The sequence below is a fragment of the Homo sapiens genome, chromosome 1, assembly GCF_000001405.40.
Source record: "Homo sapiens chromosome 1, GRCh38.p14 Primary Assembly".
NCBI classification, from domain to species: domain Eukaryota; kingdom Metazoa; phylum Chordata; class Mammalia; order Primates; family Hominidae; genus Homo; species Homo sapiens.
The window spans coordinates 159,063,302-159,086,813 of record NC_000001.11 but is presented as its reverse complement, the minus strand read 5'-3'; the positions used below and the strand labels follow the sequence as shown (position 1 = coordinate 159,086,813).

The window sequence follows — 23,512 nt, the reverse complement described above, 5'->3', positions numbered from 1 at the left end:
ACTCTTAATTTTCACAACACCTTCTAGGATTAGGGACTGACAGCCTTCAATAGACTAAGAGACTTACTCAAGGCCACACAGGTTGGTGGAGCAGGGATTTTAACTTGCACGGGTGTAGTGCCCAAGCCTGTGAGTTTACTTCTTTCCACTTTATTGCTGTGATGGAAAGTCCTGGAGATGATGGGAAAATAAACAACAGGAGCACTTAGCTCAGACTTGGGCTTGCAGGATTTGAAAACAATTTTGGAGAAAGTGAGATATAAAGAAGGACCTGGGGGTGAGTAAGAATTAGCCAGATGGGGGAGGAGAAGTAGAGGGCGAGGTATGTGCAGATTCACCTGGAGCCTAGTGTATGTGGGCAGAGGGAGGCCAGGAAGGGCCTGGCCCCAGAGCGCTCTGATGAGCTGGCCAACAGGAAAACAGAGGCAGCCTCATGTCACAAACAAAGCATCCATGTTTATGAGGTGGAAAGAGGAGAGACACTGACAACGAGGACAAAGATAGGTGGTTCAGAAGCTGGAAGAGCTTTAGGATCTGTTCTCTGGCTTTTATTAATATTTTTGCCTCACCCTTGTTGCCTTTTTACCTGCTCCCTGTTTCAGTACATTGATATCAAATATAAGTAGAGCAAACCAAATTAAACATCATAGAATGATGGGTAAAATCTGGTGGAAGCAAATAATTATCTGTTGGATGTTTCCTAGATCTGAAACAGGATTTGCTAGATCTGAGCCCTATCCTTCTTTCCCCTCACACTCCACCACCAGCTTTATTGAGGTATAATCAACAAATAAAAATTGTATATTTACAGTATACAACGTGATGTTTTGATATTTGTGTACATTATGAAATGATAAAGTTAATAAACATGTCTGCCACCTCACATAGTGTGTGTGTGTTAGAACATTTAAGATCTACTCTCTTAGCGATACTCAAGTACACACTACGTCACTGAGTGCCATCTTCCTTGAAATACTCTTTGCCTTGCCTTCCAGCACTCCACCAGGTCTGGCTTCTTTTCTCTACTGCTCTGACCTTTCTTTGTAAGTCTTCCTTGTTGACTCTTCCTCTTTAGCCCAACCACTTGCTGTCTGAGCTCTACGTGGCTTGGAGGCCTGCCCCCTTCTCCTTCATGATGGCCTCTCCTGACAGTCTCATCCTGTTCTGCAGCATCAGCTGCCATCTGTATTTGGATGCTGCCCACGTTACTGTCTGGAGTTCTGACCTTTCGTCTAAGCTCCAGGCTTATATATTCAATTAAACATCTCCATTTACATATCTCTTGGGCACCTCAAACGCAACACCTCCACCGCTAAACCCACATTTTCCTCACTTACTTTGACCTACTCCTCCTTGGGTACTCCCTGTCTCTGTAATGACACTATCATTCACCTACTTTCCTGAGCCAGAAATCTGGGAATAATTCTGGAATCCTTATCTCTCTTGAATGAGTTTTTAGTGGCCATGTGTCACATTTGTACCTTCCCAGAACCTTTTAAATAATTCACATGTAATAATTCTCACGTCCCCAACTCAGAAGACAGGAGTCAGATTCTCATTTTTTTTTTCTTGCAGCCCAGATGGACACAGGTGACCTAGGCTTGCCCTGTCAGATGCTTCCAAGGGAGGCTTGATTTAGAAGTCATCAACATGAGAACCTGGCTCTCCATGGAGTTTCCATCTTGCTGATGCGGCTGGCTTCAGACATCTGGGTTTTAGGCAATAGCAGCAATTGCGAAGTACATACGGAAGTGGCATTTGTTCTGTAGATTTAGCAATTGCAGTGTAGTCAGGTCTTGGCATTATATGTTTAGGGAGCAGAAACAGTGAACTTATCCAGAATAGTTTTGTTGCCTGGTTTGGTGTGTGTGTATGTGGGTGGAGGGAGAAGGTGTGGGAAACACATTTTTGTTTTTTCTGTGAGTTTAGTCTTGACCTTGTTCCTTCAGTCCTTCAGACTCTCCAGTGATCTCTGAGGGATGTGTGTGTGTGTCTGTATGTGTGTGTGTGTGTGTGTGTGTGTGTGTGTGTGTGTATTTCAGACAGGGTTTTGCTCTGTCACTCAGGCTGGAGTGCAGTGGTTTGATCACCACTCACTGCAGCCTCAAACTCCTAGACAATCAAGTGATCCTCCTGCCTCAACCTCCCAAGTAATTGGGACTACAGGCATGTGTCACCAAGCCCTGCTAATTTTTAAAATTCTTTGGAGAGATAAGGTCGCCGTTTTTTGCTCAGGCTGGACTTGAACTCCTGGCTTCAAGCGATTCCCCCGCCTTGGCCTCCCAAAGTGCTAGAATTACAGGCATGAGCCACCGTGCCTGGCCTGGGTTTAATATTTTTAATAAAGTTTCTGTCTCCTTAAACTATCAAGGGAAGCTTATGTTGTTTGCAGTAGGAATCTTGAACAGTTCAAGATTGTTGCTTTCTCTCCAGTAGGAAGTCTAGCTGTGTTTTGAGCTGTGTGAAAGGAGAAGGGAAGGATGTGGTGAGCGAGAACCAGAAATAAGTGGGCTTGGAGGAGGGAAGGCCCTGCCTCTCCAGGGTTTTTTCATTTGATCACATTATATAGAATATATAAATTATGTACAAATATGCCAAAAAGCAGGGCAGAGTGATGGAAAGAGAATTGGAATTTTAGAAAATAACCAGATTTAAATTCTGACTCTACCACATACTAGCAGGGTACCCTTGAGCAAATGACTTAACTTCTTTAAACTCTGTTCCCTCACTTATGGGTTTCAATTAATATATTTACCACATAGAGTGGTAGGGTTACATGAGATAGCCTGTGAAAAAGATCTCTCACTTATTGGCTTACTGGCTGAGTGGTAAAGGTTAGCTCTGTGTGCCAGAGGCAATTAGGGACTCTAGAGAATGCATCAATAATTGGTTATATATAGGTGGTCCATAAATATTGACTATTCAATTCCATTGGCCTAGAATTCCACTTTTTGTATTTCCACATGTTAAAACTCTTATTCCTTCCAATAGGACTAGTCCAAGTGCTATTGTTTTTCTCTAATTGGACCTTTCCAAATTCACTTAGCTGGAAGTAAAGAATTCTATTTCTGAAATATTATTATATTTTATCATAGGTCATATTTGGATTAATGGTGTAGAATGTAGATCCTTAGGATAGTATAGAATATAGATCCTTAGAATAGGAAGATACTTGGGTGAGTATTTAGTAGAGCTAAAATTTAGTAGAGCTAAATGGTATAGAATATAAATCCTTAGAATAGGAAGATACTTCAATGAGCATTTAGTAGAGCTATTTATGTTTTAAATTTATTTTCATTCAGTTAATATATTACTATTGATTGAAATTCAATAATATTACAAGGATGATAATAAAGAGTAGTCCCCTGCCTCATACCTTACCACTCCCAATTCCCACTCACTCAAGGCAACATTTTTTAACCTTTCATAATATTGCTACATTCCTAGTTTTCAATTTTAGCCACTCCATTATCTATTGATTTGCTGCAATAGAAGATACAAATTTACTTTTCTTACACCTCTTTTCTTACATTGTTGGAACCCTACATCTTACAAATACATGTACATCATCTCTCTTTCCACTTTCCCAATATGGTCATTTCACAATTGTTGATTAAATCACTGTTTGGTGTTTTACATTACCATAACTATCTAAATAAAACTAATAGTTAAGCCATGTAGTATGTTTAGATTCCTTCTTTATGCATCTTTATTTTTTTCTGAAGTCAGTGACATATCTTTAATAATTTGTTCCATCTTGACGTGCTTATTGCTAATTCTTTTAAAAGATCCAAAACAGTAAAATTTCTCTCAAAATAAATTCAGGTAATTTCTCTGCAACCACCCACTACCTGCAAAACTTACACATATATCTCACACACTTTTTCCTTAGGAAATATTCTTTTTTGAGCTTTCCGTCCCCCTGTTTTGAACAAGTTTCAGTCTAGCTGTGTACAAGTCAAGGTTCAAGGGCTTCTGGTCACCATTATCCTGGGGTGACATCATCCTTGTGGACTGAATGTTTGTGTTACCCCCAAAATTCATATGTTAAAATCCTAACCCCTAATGTGATGATATTAGGAGGTGGGGCTTTGGGGAGGCGATTAGATCTTGAGGGTATGGGCTTCGTGAATAGGATTAGTGCTCTTATACTACGTGGGATAGTGCCCAGGGAGCACTTTCATCTCTTCTGCCATGTGAGGACACAGCAAAAAGCCATCATCTTGCTAGGTGTGGTGGTGCACACCTGCTGTCCAGGACTTAGGGTCCAGCTTTGGCAACATGGCAAGACCTTGCCTTTAAAAAAAAGAAAGAGAGAAAGAAAAGAAAAAAGATGGCTGTCTTTGAACCAGGAAGCAAGTCTTCACCAGGTACTGAATATGCTGGTACCTTGATCTTGGACTTCCCAGCCTCCAGAATTGTGAGAAATAAATGTGTATATAAATTGTTGTTTATAAGTCACTTAGTCTATAGTATTTTTGTTATAGAGGCCCAAACAAACTGAGACATGGAGATTCCTGAATAATTTTGTTCCTTCCTTACATGTACATGTGATTATTATAATTATCAGCTAGGTATAGAAGACGAGGCTGAAAATTGTTTTCCTCAAATGTTAAAGGAATTGCTCCACTCTCTTCTAGCTTCTAGTGTTGTTGTCAAGAATGCCAATTCTATTCTTATTCCTAATCCTCAGATATGATCTATTCTTTCTCAGGAAGCTTTTAGGATCTTCTCTCTCCTTGGTGTTTTGTAATTTTAAAAGCATGTGGCTAGAAAAAAAGAAAGACCTAAAAATCAATCATCTAAGCTCCCACATTAGGAAACTAGAAGAATAAGAGTAAATTAACTGCAAAGTAAGCATAAGAAAATACAGTTTTAAAAAATTAGAGCTGAAATCAATGAAATTGAAAACAAAAATTAAGAGTGCTTCACTGCCTCCTGTTTTCAGGGAGCTGGAGCTTACTTCCCCAGGGACTTGGCTGGGAAGGGCTTTCTAGCATCTGGGCCACACTGCAAAGGCTGGAGTATTTTAAGAGTTTACGTGTCAGGAAGAGTCTGTTACTTTTAAAGTTAACTTAATTGTCCTTTTAGACTTTTTTTAAAGTTAACTTAATTGTCCTTTTATTTTTGGATCAAGTCCTATGCCAGGGATTTTAACTGCACTTTGAATGTGTTACCAAGGTTATGGTGACCCTTGGATGCTATTTTTGGAAGAAAGACGAATGGTGACAGACTGCAAAATCAATACTCAAGAGCCTGAGGAGCCTCTGGATTTTGACTTCTGCAGCACCAATGTTATTAATAAAATTATTCTGCAGTCAGAGGGGCTCTGAAGCATTTCCCAGATTGGATGTGACGACTGAGGTCCTACAGATTATCATGTCTCCTGACAAGCATTATTTCAGGTTATCTACTTTTGAAAATTTAGAAAGTTTGCAATTTGACTTCCAAAGATTTTTATGTGGTGCAAGCATTTCATTGTAATCAGACCCAGGTCAACAGATTTTATTTCTTTGCTAATCCCCTTTACAAAAACGTTAGTCCTATCTTGTAAGGTATTTTATTCACACAAATAACAGGATTTCTTTCATTATGGTATATTTTTAGAATGAAGGGGGGCAAATATCTTTTGTGGAATATTACTGTTGCCCTGATGATGAAGTTCCTGAATCTGAGTCTTGAGTATGATGATTCACTGTGATATTTATGTGTACATTCATGATAAGTTGAGTTATCATTATGAGTATAAAAATCTTCATAATTTCTTATTGAATTTTCTGTAGAGAAGATGCATGGAGAAGATAAAAGCAAGGTCCCTGTACCCTAATAGTTATGTATTTTGTGAACAAATGCTTTCATGAAGTCATAGATTATCTAGTATTAGACTGGCCTGTGGCTCTGTCTTTTGAACTCATGGGAATCACTGTGAGCCAAGATGAATAAGTTATAGGTTCTATTCCACTTAAGTAAAACATTTCAAGAGTCTGAAGATTTAAAGTTTGTTGAAGGCATATCAGAACTGTTCTTTTGTTTATTTACTATTAGAAAATGCAAAGGCATATGGACATTGCTTATTAGTTTAAATGCCAGAGATTAGATATTAAAGCAGTGGTTCTCTAAGTGTTGTGTCAAGACCAACAGCATCAGAATCACCCAGGAACCTGTCAGAAATGCTGGGGGTGAGGCCTAAAATCCGTATTTTTCACAAGCTTCCCCCAGGAAATTCTAATGCATGCTAAAGTTTGGAAACCACTGTTTAAAGGATACATTTTTTAAAATTAGCATTTAATTGCATTGAGGTGTTTGCTTTTACTTGTGATTTCTTTACAAAAGTTCTGAAATTGAGGCATCACTAAACAAGTCTGAACAATTCTTTATATGATGTATTTCTAAAGTATACCTTTTTAAGAAATCTATGGACAAGATATGAAAGTCTTCAGAGTCATAGATTTTCTCCTTATTCTTAAAACTGTTCAATGCAGTACTTATTAGATACCTTTCGTTTGCTCATAAACATTTATTGACCAAATCATTGTATTAAAAACCAATTAGTGGTTTCTTACAAGACTAAACATACTCTTATTATATCTTATTATACAACACAGCAATTGCATTCCTTGATATTTACCCAAAGTTGAAAAATTAAGTCCACATAAAAACATGCACACAGATATTTATAGAAGGTTTATTCGTAATTGCCAAAACTTGGAAGCAACCAACGTGTTCTTCAGTAGGTGAATGGATAAACAGATAAATGGAGACAATGGAATATTTTTTAGTGCTAAAAAGAAATGAGCCATCAAGCCATGAAAAACCATGGAGGAATCTTAAATGCAGATTACCAAGTGAAAGAAGACAATCTGAAAAGGCTATATACTGTATGACTTCAACTATATGAAATTCCAGAAACAGCAAAACTATAGAGACAGTAAAAAGATCAGTGGTTGCCAGGATTTGTCGGGAGAGAGATGACTAGACAGAGCACAGAGGATTTTAGGGCAGGGAAACCACCCTGTATGATACTGTGAGGGTGGATACTCATTATACATTTGTCCAAACCCACAGAATGTACAACACCAAGTGTACCCTAGTGGCAACTCTGGAGTCTGGGTGATAATGATGTGTCATGCTCAGTCCACCCTGGTGGGAATGTTGATAATGGGGAGGCTGTGCATGTGTGAGGGAAAAGGGTATATGGAAACCTGTACCTTCAGCTCAATTTTACTGTGAGCCTAAAACTGCTTTAAAAAATAAAGTCTACTAAAAAGAAAAAAACTGGAAAAAAAATGCAAAGTGACATGCTTTTGTGTGTGTTCTTTCTCATTCATCAAATTCGGTATTTATTTGATAACTTGCTTTTTTCTCCATTCGCTCTTGTTTAAATGCTTATTAGCTGGTTATTATTCATCGGGGCATAAACCTGTATATTTCTTATTTTTTTTCTCTCCTGTTTTTCCATTTTATTCTTTTCTAGGCATACTTTTAGAAAGAGATCTTCAGCTTTATCACTCTATTAGCTTTAAAACTTTTCTGCTATCACATTTAGAAAATATATTTATAAAATCTCTTCTGTAATTTGTTCATTTTTTACAAGTATTAGCACTGTCTTTTTGTTTCATGGATGCAATGTCTTTTCTTATCTCTCTGATGACCATATATATTTCTTCTTCTACCCTCTGCTTTGTCCTTAAGTTCCTTCTTCTGATTTGTTTTCTGTTTTTTTTTTAAGTTGGAGGCTTTTCTGAATGTTATTTATGTCTGTTTACTCATATTTAAGAAAGAAATGTCCATACATGTATACACACAAAACTGACTTGAATTCTTTTTGCGTTGGCCTGGTTTATTTATGAGTTAGTTTAATTATAGGATTGGCACGAAAGGGCCTGAGTCTTTGTATTGGAAAACTCAAAATGTCAGTAACGGTGAGAGTTTTTCCCTTCTTGGGCCAGTTGCTACAGTAGGAGCCTCCAGTCTTCTGCTTATGGCATAAACCTTGCTGTCAGTACTCTAGAAGTCAGGGAGGAAAGGGCTTGGGGATCCCACTTTTCTCCGTGAGACTGTTAACAAACCTCCTTTTTCAGCACAGTTGCCTCCTTTCCCTTCTGTGTCTTGTGTCACCAAGTTGGGTATCTCTCTGATTAAATTTCTTGGTAAAACAAAGCTGGACGATGAGTACTTGTCTCTCTGCCCCAGGTGCAGCAGTGTACCTGCTCCTCATTGAGACCACTTCCCAGCTTAATCACTTAACTCACCTTTTACAGGACCTGAAGCCTCAAATCAGTACGCCTCTCTGGGGTTGGTGCTTGTTGGGTTCTTCCTCAACAGGGAGCTTTCTCTCGTTTACTCAGTAGGTTACCAAATTCATACACTTCACATCTTTTTAATTCTTACATATTGTTCTCTTTGGTGTTCTTTCGCCTTGTGTGATCCACTCATTCATGCATTCACTCATTCAACGAATATTTTCTGAACACCTTCTCTGTGCCTGGCACTGTGTCAGGTGAAGTGGATGCAGTGAGCCAGTGGGCAGAAATCTCTTCCCTCATGTGCCTTACATTTTAGGAGCATGAGGCAGAGAATAAACAAACAAATGACATATACCGTATGTCAGATGATGGTCAGTAACACGTGTGGGAAAAGATAATGTGGGGAAGAGGTAGAGAACATGCTGGTCAGAGAAGCCCCACAGATAAGGTGCTATTTGAGCTGAAAGCTGGCAAAAGTGTAGAAACAAGCCTTGCAGTAGAAAGTGAAGGAGGTCCTGCAGCTCTGGGCTGATTACCTGGGCATGGTTAGGTGCTCTTCCTCTGCTCCTTGAGCATCTTGAGCATGCTTTAATTATAACACTTATCATCATGTCCTATTGTGATTATTAAATCACATGTCTGTTTTCATGACTTGGCAGAGCCGCTCAACATCTGGAACTTTGTCTTACTAACTTTTATATTCTCAGAATCTAATACATCATATTAGATGTTCAGTGCATAATTGTTAATTCAATGAATAAGAAAGGAAAACCTCAAGTAAATTGCTGACTAGAATCAAGCCCTCAAGCTCTGAATTTAGGGTTAGGAGCCTGGGTTAGGAAGAAAGACTGTATATATGCTTTTGAGGCAAGCAGTCAGTGAGGGAATGAGGCATGATTACTTGCAGGTGGCTACAAGCAATAAAAATGCGGTCAAAAAGGTTAGCAGAGGGATTGCCCCACTAGTAGATAGGAACTGTTACAACAGCCTGTGACAATGAAGACAGATTGCAAACTTCCTACTTAGGCACAGATGAGAATGTAACACAGAAGAAACTGGCCGCAACTGGTTAAAGCCAAGATGGTCGAAAACTTGGCTGACTGCTGACCCTTAGCTTCATTATGCCCTTAATATCATAAAACTTCCATGGGGAAATTCCCACTCCCATCATGCACCTGACGCCATGACAGTTCCGGATTAACCATCTTTAGTCAAGAAAAGGGTGGCACCCCGATTCCGGGAATTGCCCGCCCATTTCCCAGAAAACCCCTCCCCTTGATTACAGAGTACTCCATACCTTCATTGTGCTTATTCATATAGTACGTGAACCACATTGCCTGTGACTCAAATCTTTGAGTGCCTGCACTCCTCCCTTGAGGGTGTCGTTGGTTTTGCTCCACAATAAAATGTCTATACTTTCGCTTGGGTCTCATTTTCAGATTCTCTTATGCTTTGAAGACAAGAACCTGCACTGCCCTACTGGCAACACTTTTAGATACCCTCTGAGATCAGTGTGCTTGTTTATACCAGAAAAATGTCATCACCAGGCCCCTTAGTCACAAAGTGTATCAAGAAGTCATCTGCGGTCATTTTTTACAGTTTCTAGGCCACTTTCTGTTTCCAATCAGTGTAGTTCCTATGTGGCATGACTCAGATACAAGTTTCTATAGACATTTTCTTCTGTGGCTGCTAGTGAGAACCCAAACCAGCTCAGCCAATTAGAGCTCCAGTTGTCACTCCTACCCACACTGGGCCTGGGGGTGAAGGGAAGTGTTTATTAGGGGTACATGTGAAGCCGTCCAGAAGTGTCAGAGTCTTTGTAGCTTTGAAAGTCACCTAGGTTATTTGGGCATGCTCTCCTGAGTCCTCTGCTAGTTAAGCTCTCTGAAAAGAAGGTGGCAGACCCGGTTTGCTGATCGCCCCAGGGATCAGGAGGTAAGCACCATAGAGGAGCTGGGTTAGAGACGAGAGACTTAACCGTTTCTCTGCTGAAAAAGACAACTGAGGAAAGGCCAGCCATGCTGTGCACACCTCTGAGAACCTGAACCTGCAAACATGGACATCAGCTCTGAAAGGATGGGTTCATTTCTCTTTTATTCACTTTAGCCATGTCCTCTGGTGTCTCTGAGCTGGTGTTCCTTAAGCTTCGGCTTCCTTTGGGGTTTGTCTATCAGCCTATTTGTAAGGCTGACTTTTATGCCAATAGCAAATACAAGCATTTTTTAAGTTAACAGATATTATGAAGTAAAATGCAAGTTTTTCATTTATAAGGCAACATAACTTCAGAGAAAAAACTGAGTCAATCACATAAAATGTGATTAAAATGTGATTGTTATTATATAAGAGGGTTATAGGAAGATTAGCTTCTTATGGACAAGTAGAAAAGTAGGAATCATCCAAGCTGATTGTCACAGTAGATATTCAACAAAGGTAGTGTCCTTCCTTGCTTTCATCAGTAGGATGGGGGCATTTGGATGGCTTTATCATTGCAAATATTTTTAATGTATTCCTTATTTTGAAAATGGTCCTGATAATAGTTTTAATTTTCACTCATGAACTCTACATGTATAAGTAGAGTTTCTCCAGCGCTTACCAACATATAGGAAAAAACATTATAAGGCCATTAACAGTGATAGTTTAGAATTTATTAACATTGACTCTACTGATGGGGGTATTCAAGCTTCCCTAAAATTCACAATCAGTTATTTTCAGCTCATAAACATCTTTTCCTGTTCTTTGGCTTATTTCTTCCACTTTATATGTTGCTGCTCTGGAAGTCATTAATTGCTAATAATGTCAAACATCTTTTTTATGTTTATTGGATATTTGAGCAAATTGCTCATTCACATCTTTTGCACACTTTTCAAATAGACTGTTGTTTTCTTATTGATACATGGTTCTCCATGTATTCCAAAAGCAAAACCTCTATTAGCTCTCTCTCTCTCTCTCTCTCTCTATATATATATATATAGCAGGTATAGCCATATATATATGTGTGTGTGTGTGTGTGTGTGTGTGTGTGTGTGTGTGTGTATTGCAGGTATCTGCCCAGTTTTTGCCTTGTATAATCACTTTGTTTAGTGTGTGTGTGTGCACGGATGTGTGTGTTTCCTACAAAGAAATTGAGAATATGCATGCAATCACATTTGACAAATTTTTTTTTTCTGGCTTGTCCTTTTTGTGCCTTATTTAAGGAACCTCCTTCTACTTCAATGTATTGAGAAATTCTGTGTTTTATTCAACATCATTACTATTCTATTTAGATAATTAATCCAACCAGATATATATTTTGTGTATGATATAAGAGAAAGGCTGAATATATCATTCCCTGTGTATTGTCATTTGTCTGAACACTTTTTATAGTTGGCCATTCTTTCCTTGTGATTTTTAATGCCACTTTGATTATATACCAAGCTTTAATTTACATGTGGTCCTGTTTCCACACTCTATTTATTAGTTCATTTTTTTCTACGCCACTGCCATACTGATTTAATAATTATACATTTGTAGTAAGTATTGATACCTAGTAGTAGGGATAGTACATCCTGATAAACATATTCAACTTGTTTTGCAGGTTTTTGTCTTTATTTTTTTCATTTAGGTTTTAGGATCATTCTGATAAATTCTATGAAAAACCCTTTGAGATTTTGGATAGGAGTTTATAGATTAATTTGACAACACTGCTGTCTTCATTTTATCAAATCTTCCCATTTAAAATATCAGACATACACCCACTTAAGTAGGTCCTTTAAATCTCCCAATAAAGTTTTATAAGTTTCCCTTTAAAACTCTTAAATATATTGTATTCGATGTTCTTATGTACTTTGTAGTTTTGTTGCTATTGGAAATTACTTTTTTTATGTAATTTTTTTCTCTCTTGGAGTGGTACTAAAATAAAGGAATGCATTTCTGTATATTAATCTTATAGTTATAAACTGTTGAATTATTATTTATAATGTTTTGTGTATTATTTTGGATACTATACATAAACAACTATATTACTACAACGTGATTTTGGCAACAAGTTACAAAAATAGGTTGATGGACAGAATAAAGAATCCAGAAATAGACTCACTCATATTTGGACAACTGATTTTTGCAAAGGTAAAAAAAAAAATCATTAAAAATGACAGTCTTTTTAACATATGATTCTGGGAAAATTCATATTCATATGAAAAATAAATGAACTTTGAATCATCACTTATATCATATACAAATTAACTCAAAGCAGTACATACAGCCAAATGTGAAATGATCAAACCGTAAAATTCTTACAGGAAGACATAAAATCTTCTAATCTTGAGATTGGAAAAGATTTCTTAAATAAGACACTGAAAGCATGATCCATGAAAGAACAGATTGATTAATTGCACTTCATCAGGTATATGTATATGCCAAAATTTATCAGATTGTATACTTCCAGTGTATGCACCGTGTTGTATGCCAGTTATGCCTCGATAAATCTATTTTAAAAATAACAGGAAAATGTATCCTGTTTCCTTTTTGTTGTTGTTGTTGTTGTTGTTTTGAGATGAAGTTTCGCTCCTGTTGCCCAGGCTGGAGTGCAATGGCGCGATCTTGGCTCACTGCAACCTCCACCTCCCAGGTTCAAATAATTCTCCTGCCTCAGCCTCCTGAGTAGTTGGGATTACAGGCGCCCACCACCATGCTCGGCTAATTTTTGTACTTTTAGTAGAGATGGGGTTTTGCCATATTGGCCAGTCTGGTCTCAAACTCCTGACCGCAGGTGATCCGCCCACCTTGGCCTTCCAAAGTGCTGGGATTATTACAGGCGTGAGCTACCGCGCCCAGCTAATGTATCTTGTTTTCTGAGAATTCCAGAGGTGTTGTATACTTTCTGAAGATGTCTTTCCCAGGAGTAGTGATCACCTTGCTTAAGAAGTTCTTACCTATGTCCTACTCAAATCTCTTTTACTACTGCAAATATTTTATTTTTCTTTAAAAAATATTAATAGCTCACCTTGCTTTATTTTGAATGTAGAATCACTTTTGGTGGTGTAATCTTACATGTTTTGGATTCCTTATAGGCTGATCCCAAAGTTGTCAGATGGAGAGTAAATACAAGGAGATACTCTTGCTAACAGGCCTGGATAACATCACTGATGAGGAACTGGATAGGTTTAAGTTCTTTCTTTCAGACGAGTTTAATATTGCCACAGGCAAACTACATACTGCAAACAGAATACAAGTAGCTACCTTGATGATTCAAAATGCTGGGGCGGTGTCTGCAGTGATGAAGACCATTCGTATTTTTCAGAAGTTGAATTATATGCTTTTGGCAAAACGTCTTCAGGAGGAGAAGGAGAAAGGTAATGTGGGAGTTCCACACCTGCCCCGTCCCTTTTTCTGCCAAGCCTGGGCCTTTCCTTTCATGGCATCCCTGGGATATGACCCCCAGTGCACATTGTTGGAATTTGTTTGCTAACTTAGTGCACCTGTCTCTTTGCCCCCTTTTACTGAGAATCGCTTCTAGGAAGTGTTTGTTACAAATTCCACAAATCCATTCCAGCCTTTGTTTGCATCTCTTCTTCCAGCCTTAGGGTTACCACTTCCATTTAACATCTTTTCTCCTTGCCCATCTTTGTCTCCAGTTCAGTTGCAGTGAATATGGACGTAGAATTTCAAAGTTAACTTCTCCCAACTCCATTTACACAGTATGTAATGCTGTCACATTCTACTGAAGTCTTGAAAGTATAAATTATTGCATTGGAAAACTGTAAACCAGGATATTGAGCACCTTTTTTCCTTCACACAGTCTGTCTATTCCTCTCCTTGTCCCCAGCTTTCTGTGGTCCCAGACTATCCTTCTTTAGGCGATGATCTCCTCCTTCTTCAGAAGGGAGGGAGAATCCACCTTCAGGGATTTTCTTTCCTCTCTATCTCCAGTACAGGTGACAGTATAAATTACCCACAACACAAAGATTTTTTTTACATTATTCAATAAATCACTCATCTCCATCTGAATTATCTACATTTAGTTTAAATTCCTGATTTTGTTTACTAAGAACAATTGATATGTCCCAGCTTTATGTCTGAAGAACAAAAAGGAGCTAACAGAGGAGCATATCACTCAAGGACTCTCCAAAATGAAAGTCTCCAAATGCAACAGTTTTAGGATTCAAAGTACAACAGTAGCAGCAAAAATTATAATAGCTTTTAGTAGCATTTGTGGGTGTACAACAAGGGTGACATGGCTTCTCACACATGAGTTATAGGAAGGCTAAATGAAGCCACATAAGTGATACTATGTACATTCATAATTCTATACAGATATAAACTGTTAGGTAGTTTCTAAGGCACTAAAGAGAAAGGAGTGGTGGTTTTCCCAGGCTTTAAGTTAGAAGGTGTAGTTCTTAGAGATGGCCCTTAGATGGCAGTAACTACACATGTTACTTCCAAGTAACCAACCAAAACATTGCCCTGTGTTTTTCTTATCTGGGATGAGCCAGGAATCTAGGCATATTGGCAAACATAGGCTGAGATATTTAGAAATATCTTTTATTTTGGTAATAAATCAAGAATTAATTCTTCTCTTTGACCAGGATAGAACAAAATTTCCCCTTCTACAATCTTCTCCCCATTTTGCTATTCTAATGATTCTGGGATTTTGTTATTCTGCTTAGCTAAAAAAGATCCAGTTTGGGACTAGCTTGGAAACTCAGGAGTAGATTATCCAAGGACTCTCCCAAATGAGAGTCTCCAAATGTAACAGTTGTAGGATTCAAAGTATGCTTTTGGGCCAGGCGCAGTGGCTCACGCCTTTAATCCCAGCACTTTGGGAGGCCAAGGCGGGTGGATCACTTGAGTTCAGGAGTTCGAGATCAGCCTGGCCAACATAGTGAAACTTTGTCTCTACTAAAAATACAAAAATTAGCCAGGCATGGTGGCGGGCATCTGTAATGCCAGCTACTTGGGAGGCTGAGGCACGAGAATCACTTGAACCTGGGAGGGAGAGGTTGCAGTGAGCTGAGATCACACCTCTGCACTCCTGCCTGGGCAACAACAGTGAGACCCTGTCTCAAACAACAACAACAACAAAACACAAAGTATGCTTCTTGCATGCTATACAAGAAGGCAGTTAAGTTCCTTCATAGCTCTAAAATTCTATCCACGGACATACTTAGGCCGCTTTTGAATGTAGGAAATTTTTGTGTGTCCATGCTATTTCTATTATTTTAGGAAAACAGTTTTTGTTTTATTTTTTGAACAGTTAATCTGTCATTCTTGGTTAAGTGATCCTTCTCCATTGCCATTGCATGTCTGCATGTAGAGTGCTATATGCTATTCTACTCATGACCTCACCTCATGGAAGGTAGAAGATACCTGGAGAATCTTTAATGAAGACAGAGGCAATAATTAGTAGACAGGAGAAGCTTTTGTATGAAGCAAGATGAGAAAATATAAGGACACATAAGCGTAGAAAAAGGAAGCTAAGAGAAAATGTGATCAAAGTCCACAAAAGTCCTGCAAGATTAAAATAAAATGCTGAAAATGATAAATGAAATAATCAGTAACAATGTGCACCTGATTATTAAGGCAAATGAGAGATTTATAATTGGCAGACAAGCTTGTCCACAAATATTGCATTGGTACCACAGTGTGTGAAATGAAATATGGCTGATGTGATGTGGTAGAATGGTAGGTTGATTCCTTCCGCCTCCCTTGATGCTGTTTTCTCTCCGATGCTGTGAACATAGAAGAGAGACTTTATCTGCATACCTTTCTGAAACCAATTTCATGGAACTAACTTACCATTGGAAGGTTAGTTTAACTTCTTCCTAGTGCAGAGATCCTGCTACAATATCCCTGTCAGACAGTCAACCACTTTCTGATCTTTGAAAGGTAATGACAGAGTACCTACTACCTCATAAGACAGTTCATTCTACTCTTAGCTCTAATAATTAAATCGTTTCTCTTTTTAGTAAAATCAGTGATTGCCTTGCTATTTCAGTCCAGAATTGTTCAAATTCTATCAGAAATAACATCTAATAATTTCCCAGGCCCTCTTCTGCCTGAGAGTGCCTTAAGTCATCAAACATGGCCATCTTGTTACATGGTCTTTTTAAAAATCAGGAGTAGGAGTTGGCTTTTCACGATAACATATAACCTGACCATAGACGTGGAGGAGCCCAGCCAGAGTATACGACTGCATTTTGTAGGCATTAGTGAGGAGCCAACATGCCACCCATCCATCCATTTCTTCATCCATTCAGTAAATATCCATTGAATTGCTAATAGGTACAAGGAAAGCTTTTAGGTTCTTATGATAAAACAAGGTTTTAAAAACAAATCCAAATTTTGTACAGTTTATACTCTAAAGGGAAAGTAGATATTTTTCTTACAGGCAAATTAACTGAGACAGGTAACTAACTGAGACAAATGTTCTGATGGAAAGGAAGATGGTTCTTCAGCAGCATGTGTCAAAGGAGCATTAACATAAGCCAGGAGTTAGAGTTGGTGTTGGTCAAAGCGGGTTCCATGGGGAAGTGACTTGCACTAAGCTGTGAAAAATGCATAGGAGTTAAAGGTACCTTCAGTCAGAGGGAACACTGTGTGAAAATCCCTCTGACAGCAGGTGTTGACTTGCTTGAGGACTGAAAGAAGGCCAGTATGGCTGCAGTACAGAGAATCTTCAGAGGGCAGGATGGGGTCCCCTCGACAGAAGGAAAATGCAAGGCCTTGTAGAACATAATTAGAAATCTGTGGCCAGGCGCGGTGGCTCACGCCTGTAATCCCAACACTTTGGGAGGCTGAGGTGGGCGCATCACGAGGTGAGGAGCTCAAGACCAGCCTTAACAACATGGTGAAACCCCATCTTTACTAAAAAAATACAAAAATTAGTCAGGCGTGGTGGCATGAGCCTGTAATCCCAGCTACTCAGGAGGCTGAGGCAGGAGAATCACTTGAACCCAGGAGGCAGAGGTTGCAGTGAGCCAAGATTGCGCCACTGCACTCCAGCTTGGGTGACGGAGTGAGACTCCGTCTCAAAAAAAAAAAAAAGAAAGAAATCAGCCCTTGTTTCATAGCAGCAGTTTATTCATTTTCACTACTACATAAGATTCCATTTAATTGATAATTACATATACACATAAACTGATATACATATATATAGAGAGAGAGAATTGGTGTATTTTTATTGTTATTTTAGTCATTGGAGGCCATTATGAATAATGCTGCTATGAATATTTATGTACATTATAAGCCTTATATACTTATCTTTGTATGTTTGTATTTGTATGTGTGTTTCTCTTGACTGTACACCTGTGAATGGTATTACTGGATGTTAAGGTAAGTAGATATTGAATTTTAATAAATAGCGTCCCAAACCATTTTCCAAAGTGTTATACCAATTTAAGACGACTACTACTTCATAGTTTTTGTTTCTTGTCTTTTTTTTTTTTTTGAGACAGACAGGGTCTCACTGTGTCATCCAAGCTGGAGTGCAGTGGTGCAATCATGACTCACTGCAGCTTTGAACTCCTGGGCTTAAGTTATCCTTGCCTCAGCCTCCCAAGTAGCTGGGACTAAAAACATGTGCCATTATACCTGGCTAATTTTGAAAATATTTTTTGTAAAGATAGGGTCTCCCTATGTTGACTAAGCTGGTCTCAAACCCCTGGCCTCAAGTGATCCTCCAGCCTTGGCCTCCCAAAGTGCTGGGATTACTGGTGTCTGTGCCAGGTCCAGTTTCTTTCATTTTAAAATATGATTTTTTTTTAAGAAAAATTAGCTGTTCTTGAAGATATCTTAATATGGTTTTAGTATTTATTCCTGGTGACATTTGAAAATGTGCACTGCTCATATGTTTATATGCTTATTGGCCATGTCTTTCATTTTTTAATCAGTTGATAAGCAATACAAATCGGTAACAAAACCAAAGCCACTAAGTCAAGCTGAAATGAGTCCTGCTGCATCTGCAGCCATCAGAAATGATGTCGCAAAGCAACGTGCTGCACCAAAAGTCTCTCCTCATGTTAAGGTAGGATAAGGAGAGTGGAGTGGTCTTTGTCCTTGTAAGAGCATCACTGTCACTGTCACTTCCCATATTGTTCTCTGTTCTTTATCTCACAGCATGCAAATAAGGGAAGCAAGGCCACAGCATGAAAAGCATTCTGAGTCACAAAAACAGGAACTACCTTTGATTCATCAGATTAAACACCTGTTGAGCTTCTAATCTCTGCCAGGTTCTGGACACATTAACACTTTGTTATGTTTTGGATTCTATAAGAAGAAAACTCTGAGATAGACCGTTGTTTACAGGAAGTCTATTTTAGAGCACTTTCAGAATTAATATCTGTGAGGAAGTGAAAGGAGAAGAAGAGGAAGAATGTCAAGTCCAATGTAGTTGCAATAGAGGCCTTGGCCTACCCTACAGGGAGCTCGGGAGCTGAGAATGTCTTTCAGGGCTCCCAAGATTTGTGAGGGAGTCTGTGGTTTGTACAGGCCCAGGCTCTGGGTCACATCAGAGATCCAATTCAGAGACTCTGACACTCGGTCTGGCATGCCTCTGTTTGTTTTCTGCTTGGTTCTTGACAGCAAATTGCTTTTTTAAAAGTAATGTAAAAAAGCCCTTTATACACCTGCATGGACAAGGTGAGGTGGCCCCATTTAGCTGAGAGAGTAGTGGCTGGAGAGTGTCATTGGTGAGAATGATTACTTTAGTCCTGAGGGAGTGGCAGACAACGTTAGAAAGGCCCAGCACAGAATCCACCACACATGCAGTTTCATTTCCTATGAAGCAGGTATTACATTATTTTATACCTGTGTGAGCTCTAAAAACTGATGATATATACTTCATTCTCTTTGTCTAGAGGAACCATTTCCTCTGGGTTTGGCCCAGAAACTTCTGGATTTTTCAGGAAAACAAGGTTCAAGTATAAATGGTGTGATTCCCTCATCAGTAATGAAAATATGCATTTTTCAGTCTGGAAGACCCAAATAAAGATACATGGACCAAAGAGAAGGACTTCTGTAGTGGACCTCAGTGGAGCTGACCTTTCCCTGCATTGATCCAAATGCAGTCAGTTATGCTGCCCATCAGGGCCCCTTACTGGCCCAAGCTCCACTGCCCCAAGCTCCAGGTCACATCAGAGACACCCTTCAGAGACTCCTACGCTTGGCTTTTTATGCCTCTGTTTGTTTTGCCCTGTATTTCCCTTTGGTTCTAAATGGCAAGTGGCTTTTAAAAAGTAGTATTTTCTCCCAAAACAAACCAAAAAGAGGTGTCTTATCTCTGTTAATTCAGAAAAATAAAAAACACAGAGAAGAGAATAAAATTATCTATAATTGTATCGTCTAGGAAAAAAATACATTGATGTTGGTAAATATCTCTCTAGTGTGTTTGTGTGTGTGCTTTAACTGCTTATTTATCCAATAAGAAACAGATTGTTTATCTGTTTAGGACCTTTCCCTTTATTGAATCAGTTATAACAGTTTATCATATTTCTCTAAAGCATTTTTAATATTTGCACAGTAATCTTTTTGTGACTATACCTATTTTATTTAACCAAATCTATTTTTTAGGTATTTAAATTATTTCTTTTTTTATAATTTCAAATAATAAGATGTACTTTTTAAATATAAACCTTAGTGCATAATTCATTATTTAAGGGTAAATCCATAAATGTAGTATTAATTCTCCTTTTAAATTTCTCCTTTAACTCACTCATAAGATCTCTGAACTAGGTCTCCCCCTTAACTCACATTAAATGTAATCTGCATTTTGTTATGTACAATGCTCCCTAGGAATTTGGGGAGCCCTGTGCTGGTCACTGAGCTCCCTCACTTTTATACCAGAGTAAAATGAACATTTAGGACAGTATTGGATAGAGAAACAAGGACACATGCCCGAATGGAATTGATAGAAGATGGAATCAGATTTGTCAGATTTACCCCGAGGCTTAGCAGTATTTCAGAAATCTGATGAAGTCTTTATATATAGTACATGGCAAAGCAAGGATTTGGTTTCAGGGATCCTACCTCCAAAACGTGTTACACCGTCTTATCTGAATACAGGAGTCGAAATCTTCCTTCTGCACTCTCTGTTCTATCTGGATCGTTCTAGGCCTCAACTCTCTTCGTATCCCCTCTGTATCTCTTCCCTTGATTCCACCTATCTTCTGCTGGCTTTCTGAGGTTTAGCACTGTAGGTGAAGTAAGGTCCTTTCAATAGTACCTTTTTGACTCACAGCTGATATCTTTCTTCTCTTGTCTTCAGCCTGAACAGAAACAGATGGTGGCCCAGCAGGAATCTATCAGAGAAGGGTTTCAGAAGCGCTGTTTGCCAGTTATGGTACTGAAAGCAAAGAAGCCCTTCACGTTTGAGACCCAAGAAGGCAAGCAGGAGATGTTTCATGCTACAGTGGCTACAGAAAAGGAATTCTTCTTTGTAAAAGTTTTTAATACACTGCTGAAAGATAAATTCATTCCAAAGAGAATAATTATAATAGCAAGATATTATCGGCACAGTGGTTTCTTAGAGGTAAATAGCGCCTCACGTGTGTTAGATGCTGAATCTGACCAAAAGGTTAATGTCCCGCTGAACATTATCAGAAAAGCTGGTGAAACCCCGAAGATCAACACGCTTCAAACTCAGCCCCTTGGAACAATTGTGAATGGTTTGTTTGTAGTCCAGAAGGTAAGTTTTCATATCTAATTTCATATTGATTAGTAAGAATAACGTATTTCCCATCTGATCTTAAAGAAACTTTGGAAATGGTTTTAATGTCTTTCTATATAGACAAAATAAAAAAATACAAAGTTCTAAAGAGCTGCAGAGTAAACATGCCAAAATTCATACAAAAACTCAAAAATTGTTTTTATTGTCAAAAATGTCACGATCCTATTTCAACTTACCCCAGTAGCCTCTGAAAAAGGAATTAGTTCATTCACATAATTTTTATTTCTGCATTATTTTTGTACTTTGTACATATTATCTTTATTTTAAGTGACTATAGTTGTGATTATCTTTATTTTAAGTGACTATTGTTGTGAATGCAAAGTAAGTGTAGTTGAGTAATAAACCAGATTAATGACCTGAAAAACCAATACGCAAGGCAGGATTAAAGAACTGTGATTAAATGAAGAAAACAGAAGAAAGAGTTAGCCTGAGGAGACTTTTTTTTTAATTAAAAAGTAAACTTTAATGTCAAAAATGCAAACTGGGGGAAGACAGAAAAGATCACACACAAGGCTGTCACTTCACACTTGGAAGGTTGCACGGCGGCCGGGCAGAGGCGCTCCTCACTTCCCAGACAGGGCCGCGGGGCAGAGGCGCTCCTCCAGGATACTTATTAGAAGTGAGAAATAATAAAGTATTTATTATGATTCTGAGCCTCAGGGAACTAGCCTTGTGGGATGACTTTTTCTGGTCTAGGGCAGGACCTAAAGAACCATAGAGAGAGAACCTGCTGCCCCTGCATTCAGAGCCTCAGAATAACCTCTGCTGCCCTGGGTTAGTTTCAGAAGGAATTGATAGGAAGACTCTCCAGTCCTCCTGGAAAACTCAAGTGTAAAATGACCTTGGATAGGAAAGTCATGTTCTTTATCCCAGTTTTCAGCTTTCAATCTGGCCAGCTATCCACTCATATATACTGATTTAGTCCATAAAATTAAACCTAAAATACGATCAATCTCCTAAATAACTGACCAACCTCCTGTTCCCTTTGGATCTAGACTTGATTGTGAATTGTTTCTTGTCTTTGATTACTTACTAGACTCTTGGCTGGGTCTTGCATCATTACCTCATGTCTCTCCTGGACTTGTTTTAAATAGCTCTCTTCAGGCTGGGCGCGGCAGCTCATGCCTGTAATCCTAGCACTTTGGGAGGCCAAGGCGCATGGATCACCTGAGTTGAGGAGTTCCAGATCATCCTGGCCAACATGGCAAAACCTGTCTCTAGTAAAAATACAAAAATTAGCCGGGTGTATTGGCGGACACCTATAATCCCAGCTACTCGGGAGGCTGAGGCAAGAGAATCGCTTGAACCCAGGGCGTTGGAGGTTGCAGTGAGCCAAGATTGCGCCATCGCACTCCAGCCTGGGTGAAAGAGCGAAACTCCATTTCAAAAAATAAACAAATAGAATAAATAGCTCTCTTCCAACCCAGGGTCTTCTTTTTTCCCTTGACTAATCTGGCTGCTGGCCCTGGAGAAGCTCCATCTTCTCTATCCAGCAGTTGTTGCTTCTATGGGCCACCCTGGCCTCCTCCTAAAGGAAGGGAATTTAGGACTGGAAAGATAGGCATAGGAGACAACATGTTCTAAGTAAGACACGTCTGCCTCCTCTGTGTGAACTTGCTAACATCTATTAGATATATACCTGCTAGTTTCAAAGCAGAAACATTTTTTCAAGTTGTCCCTTGAACAATGTAGGGATTAGGGCTTCTGACCCTGAGCAGTTGATAATCTGCATATAATTTTTGACTCCCCAAAAACTTAACTGCTTAATAGCCTACTCTTGATCAGAAGACTTACGGACAACATAAGCAGTCACTTAACACATATTTTTGTGTTATACATATTATATACTATATTCTTAAAAAGTAAGCTAGAGAAAAATGTTATTAATAAAATTATAAAAAAGAAAATATACTAACTATTCATTAAGTGGAAGTAGATCATCATAAAGTTCTTCATCCTCATTGTCTTGATGTTAAGTAGACTGAGGAGGAAGAGGAGGGTTGGTCTTGCCATCTTGGGGTGGCAGAGACAGAGGAAAATTCCCATATAAATGGACCTGCACAGGTAAAATCTGTGTTGTTCAAGAATCAACTGATTTCTTTTTAGAGCCTTCTTCTGGCATGTCTGATGTGTGACTGATGCGGCATTCATTAATCCGATTATCAGAGGCTGGGTGTTGATTTTCTTTTATAGGTAACAGAAAAGAAGAAAAACATATTATTTGACCTAAGTGACAACACTGGGAAAATGGAAGTACTGGGGGTTAGAAACGAGGACACAATGAAATGTAAGGAAGGAGATAAGGTTCGACTTACATTCTTCACACTGTCAAAAAATGGAGAAAAACTACAGCTGACATCTGGAGTTCATAGCACCATAAAGGTGGGAACTGCATGGAACAAAGTCAACTCTCCAAGGGGGTGATATTTTTTGTTTTCTATCAGAAAGCCGGACTGGAGCCATTGAACAGGATATAGAGTGGAAGACATTGATATTTAGTACACGTTCATCTCACAGAACTGAGGAACCTCCCTCTTAGGAAACATGTATTCTAGATACACAGTTA

General features: G+C 38.8%; 1 protein-coding gene and 1 pseudogene across 8 annotated transcripts in view, besides 2 other annotated features; both read left to right on the top strand.

The window, feature by feature from the left end:
- AIM2 (absent in melanoma 2) overlaps positions 1–23,512 on the top strand; it is a 92,082-nt gene that overhangs the window by 60,319 nt on the left and 8,251 nt on the right. For 3 of the 8 annotated variants that reach the window (XR_007064924.1, XM_047434809.1, XM_047434808.1), the window contains 4 exons: positions 13,295–13,576; positions 18,113–18,246; positions 20,485–20,904; positions 23,140–23,328. Coding sequence is in view for 5 of the 8 variants with exons in the window: in XM_047434809.1 (XP_047290765.1) it covers positions 13,315–13,576; positions 18,113–18,246; positions 20,485–20,904; positions 23,140–23,328 (1,005 nt within the window). In the remaining 3 variants the exon portion in view is untranslated. The other 5 variants (XR_001737544.2, NM_004833.3, XR_001737547.3 and 2 more) reach the window with 3 other exon arrangements.
- On the top strand, positions 5,121–5,874 carry RAD1P2 (RAD1 pseudogene 2; annotated as a pseudogene).
- Positions 9,307–9,606: an enhancer, noted in NCBI's record as "active region_1903". NCBI's record gives its function as "activates an Ori minimal core promoter by ATAC-STARR-seq in GM12878 lymphoblastoid cells {active_cell/tissue: GM12878}" and the evidence as "EXISTENCE:reporter gene assay evidence [ECO:0000049][PMID:35858748]".
- Positions 18,499–18,888: an enhancer, noted in NCBI's record as "active region_1902". NCBI's record gives its function as "activates an Ori minimal core promoter by ATAC-STARR-seq in GM12878 lymphoblastoid cells {active_cell/tissue: GM12878}" and the evidence as "EXISTENCE:reporter gene assay evidence [ECO:0000049][PMID:35858748]".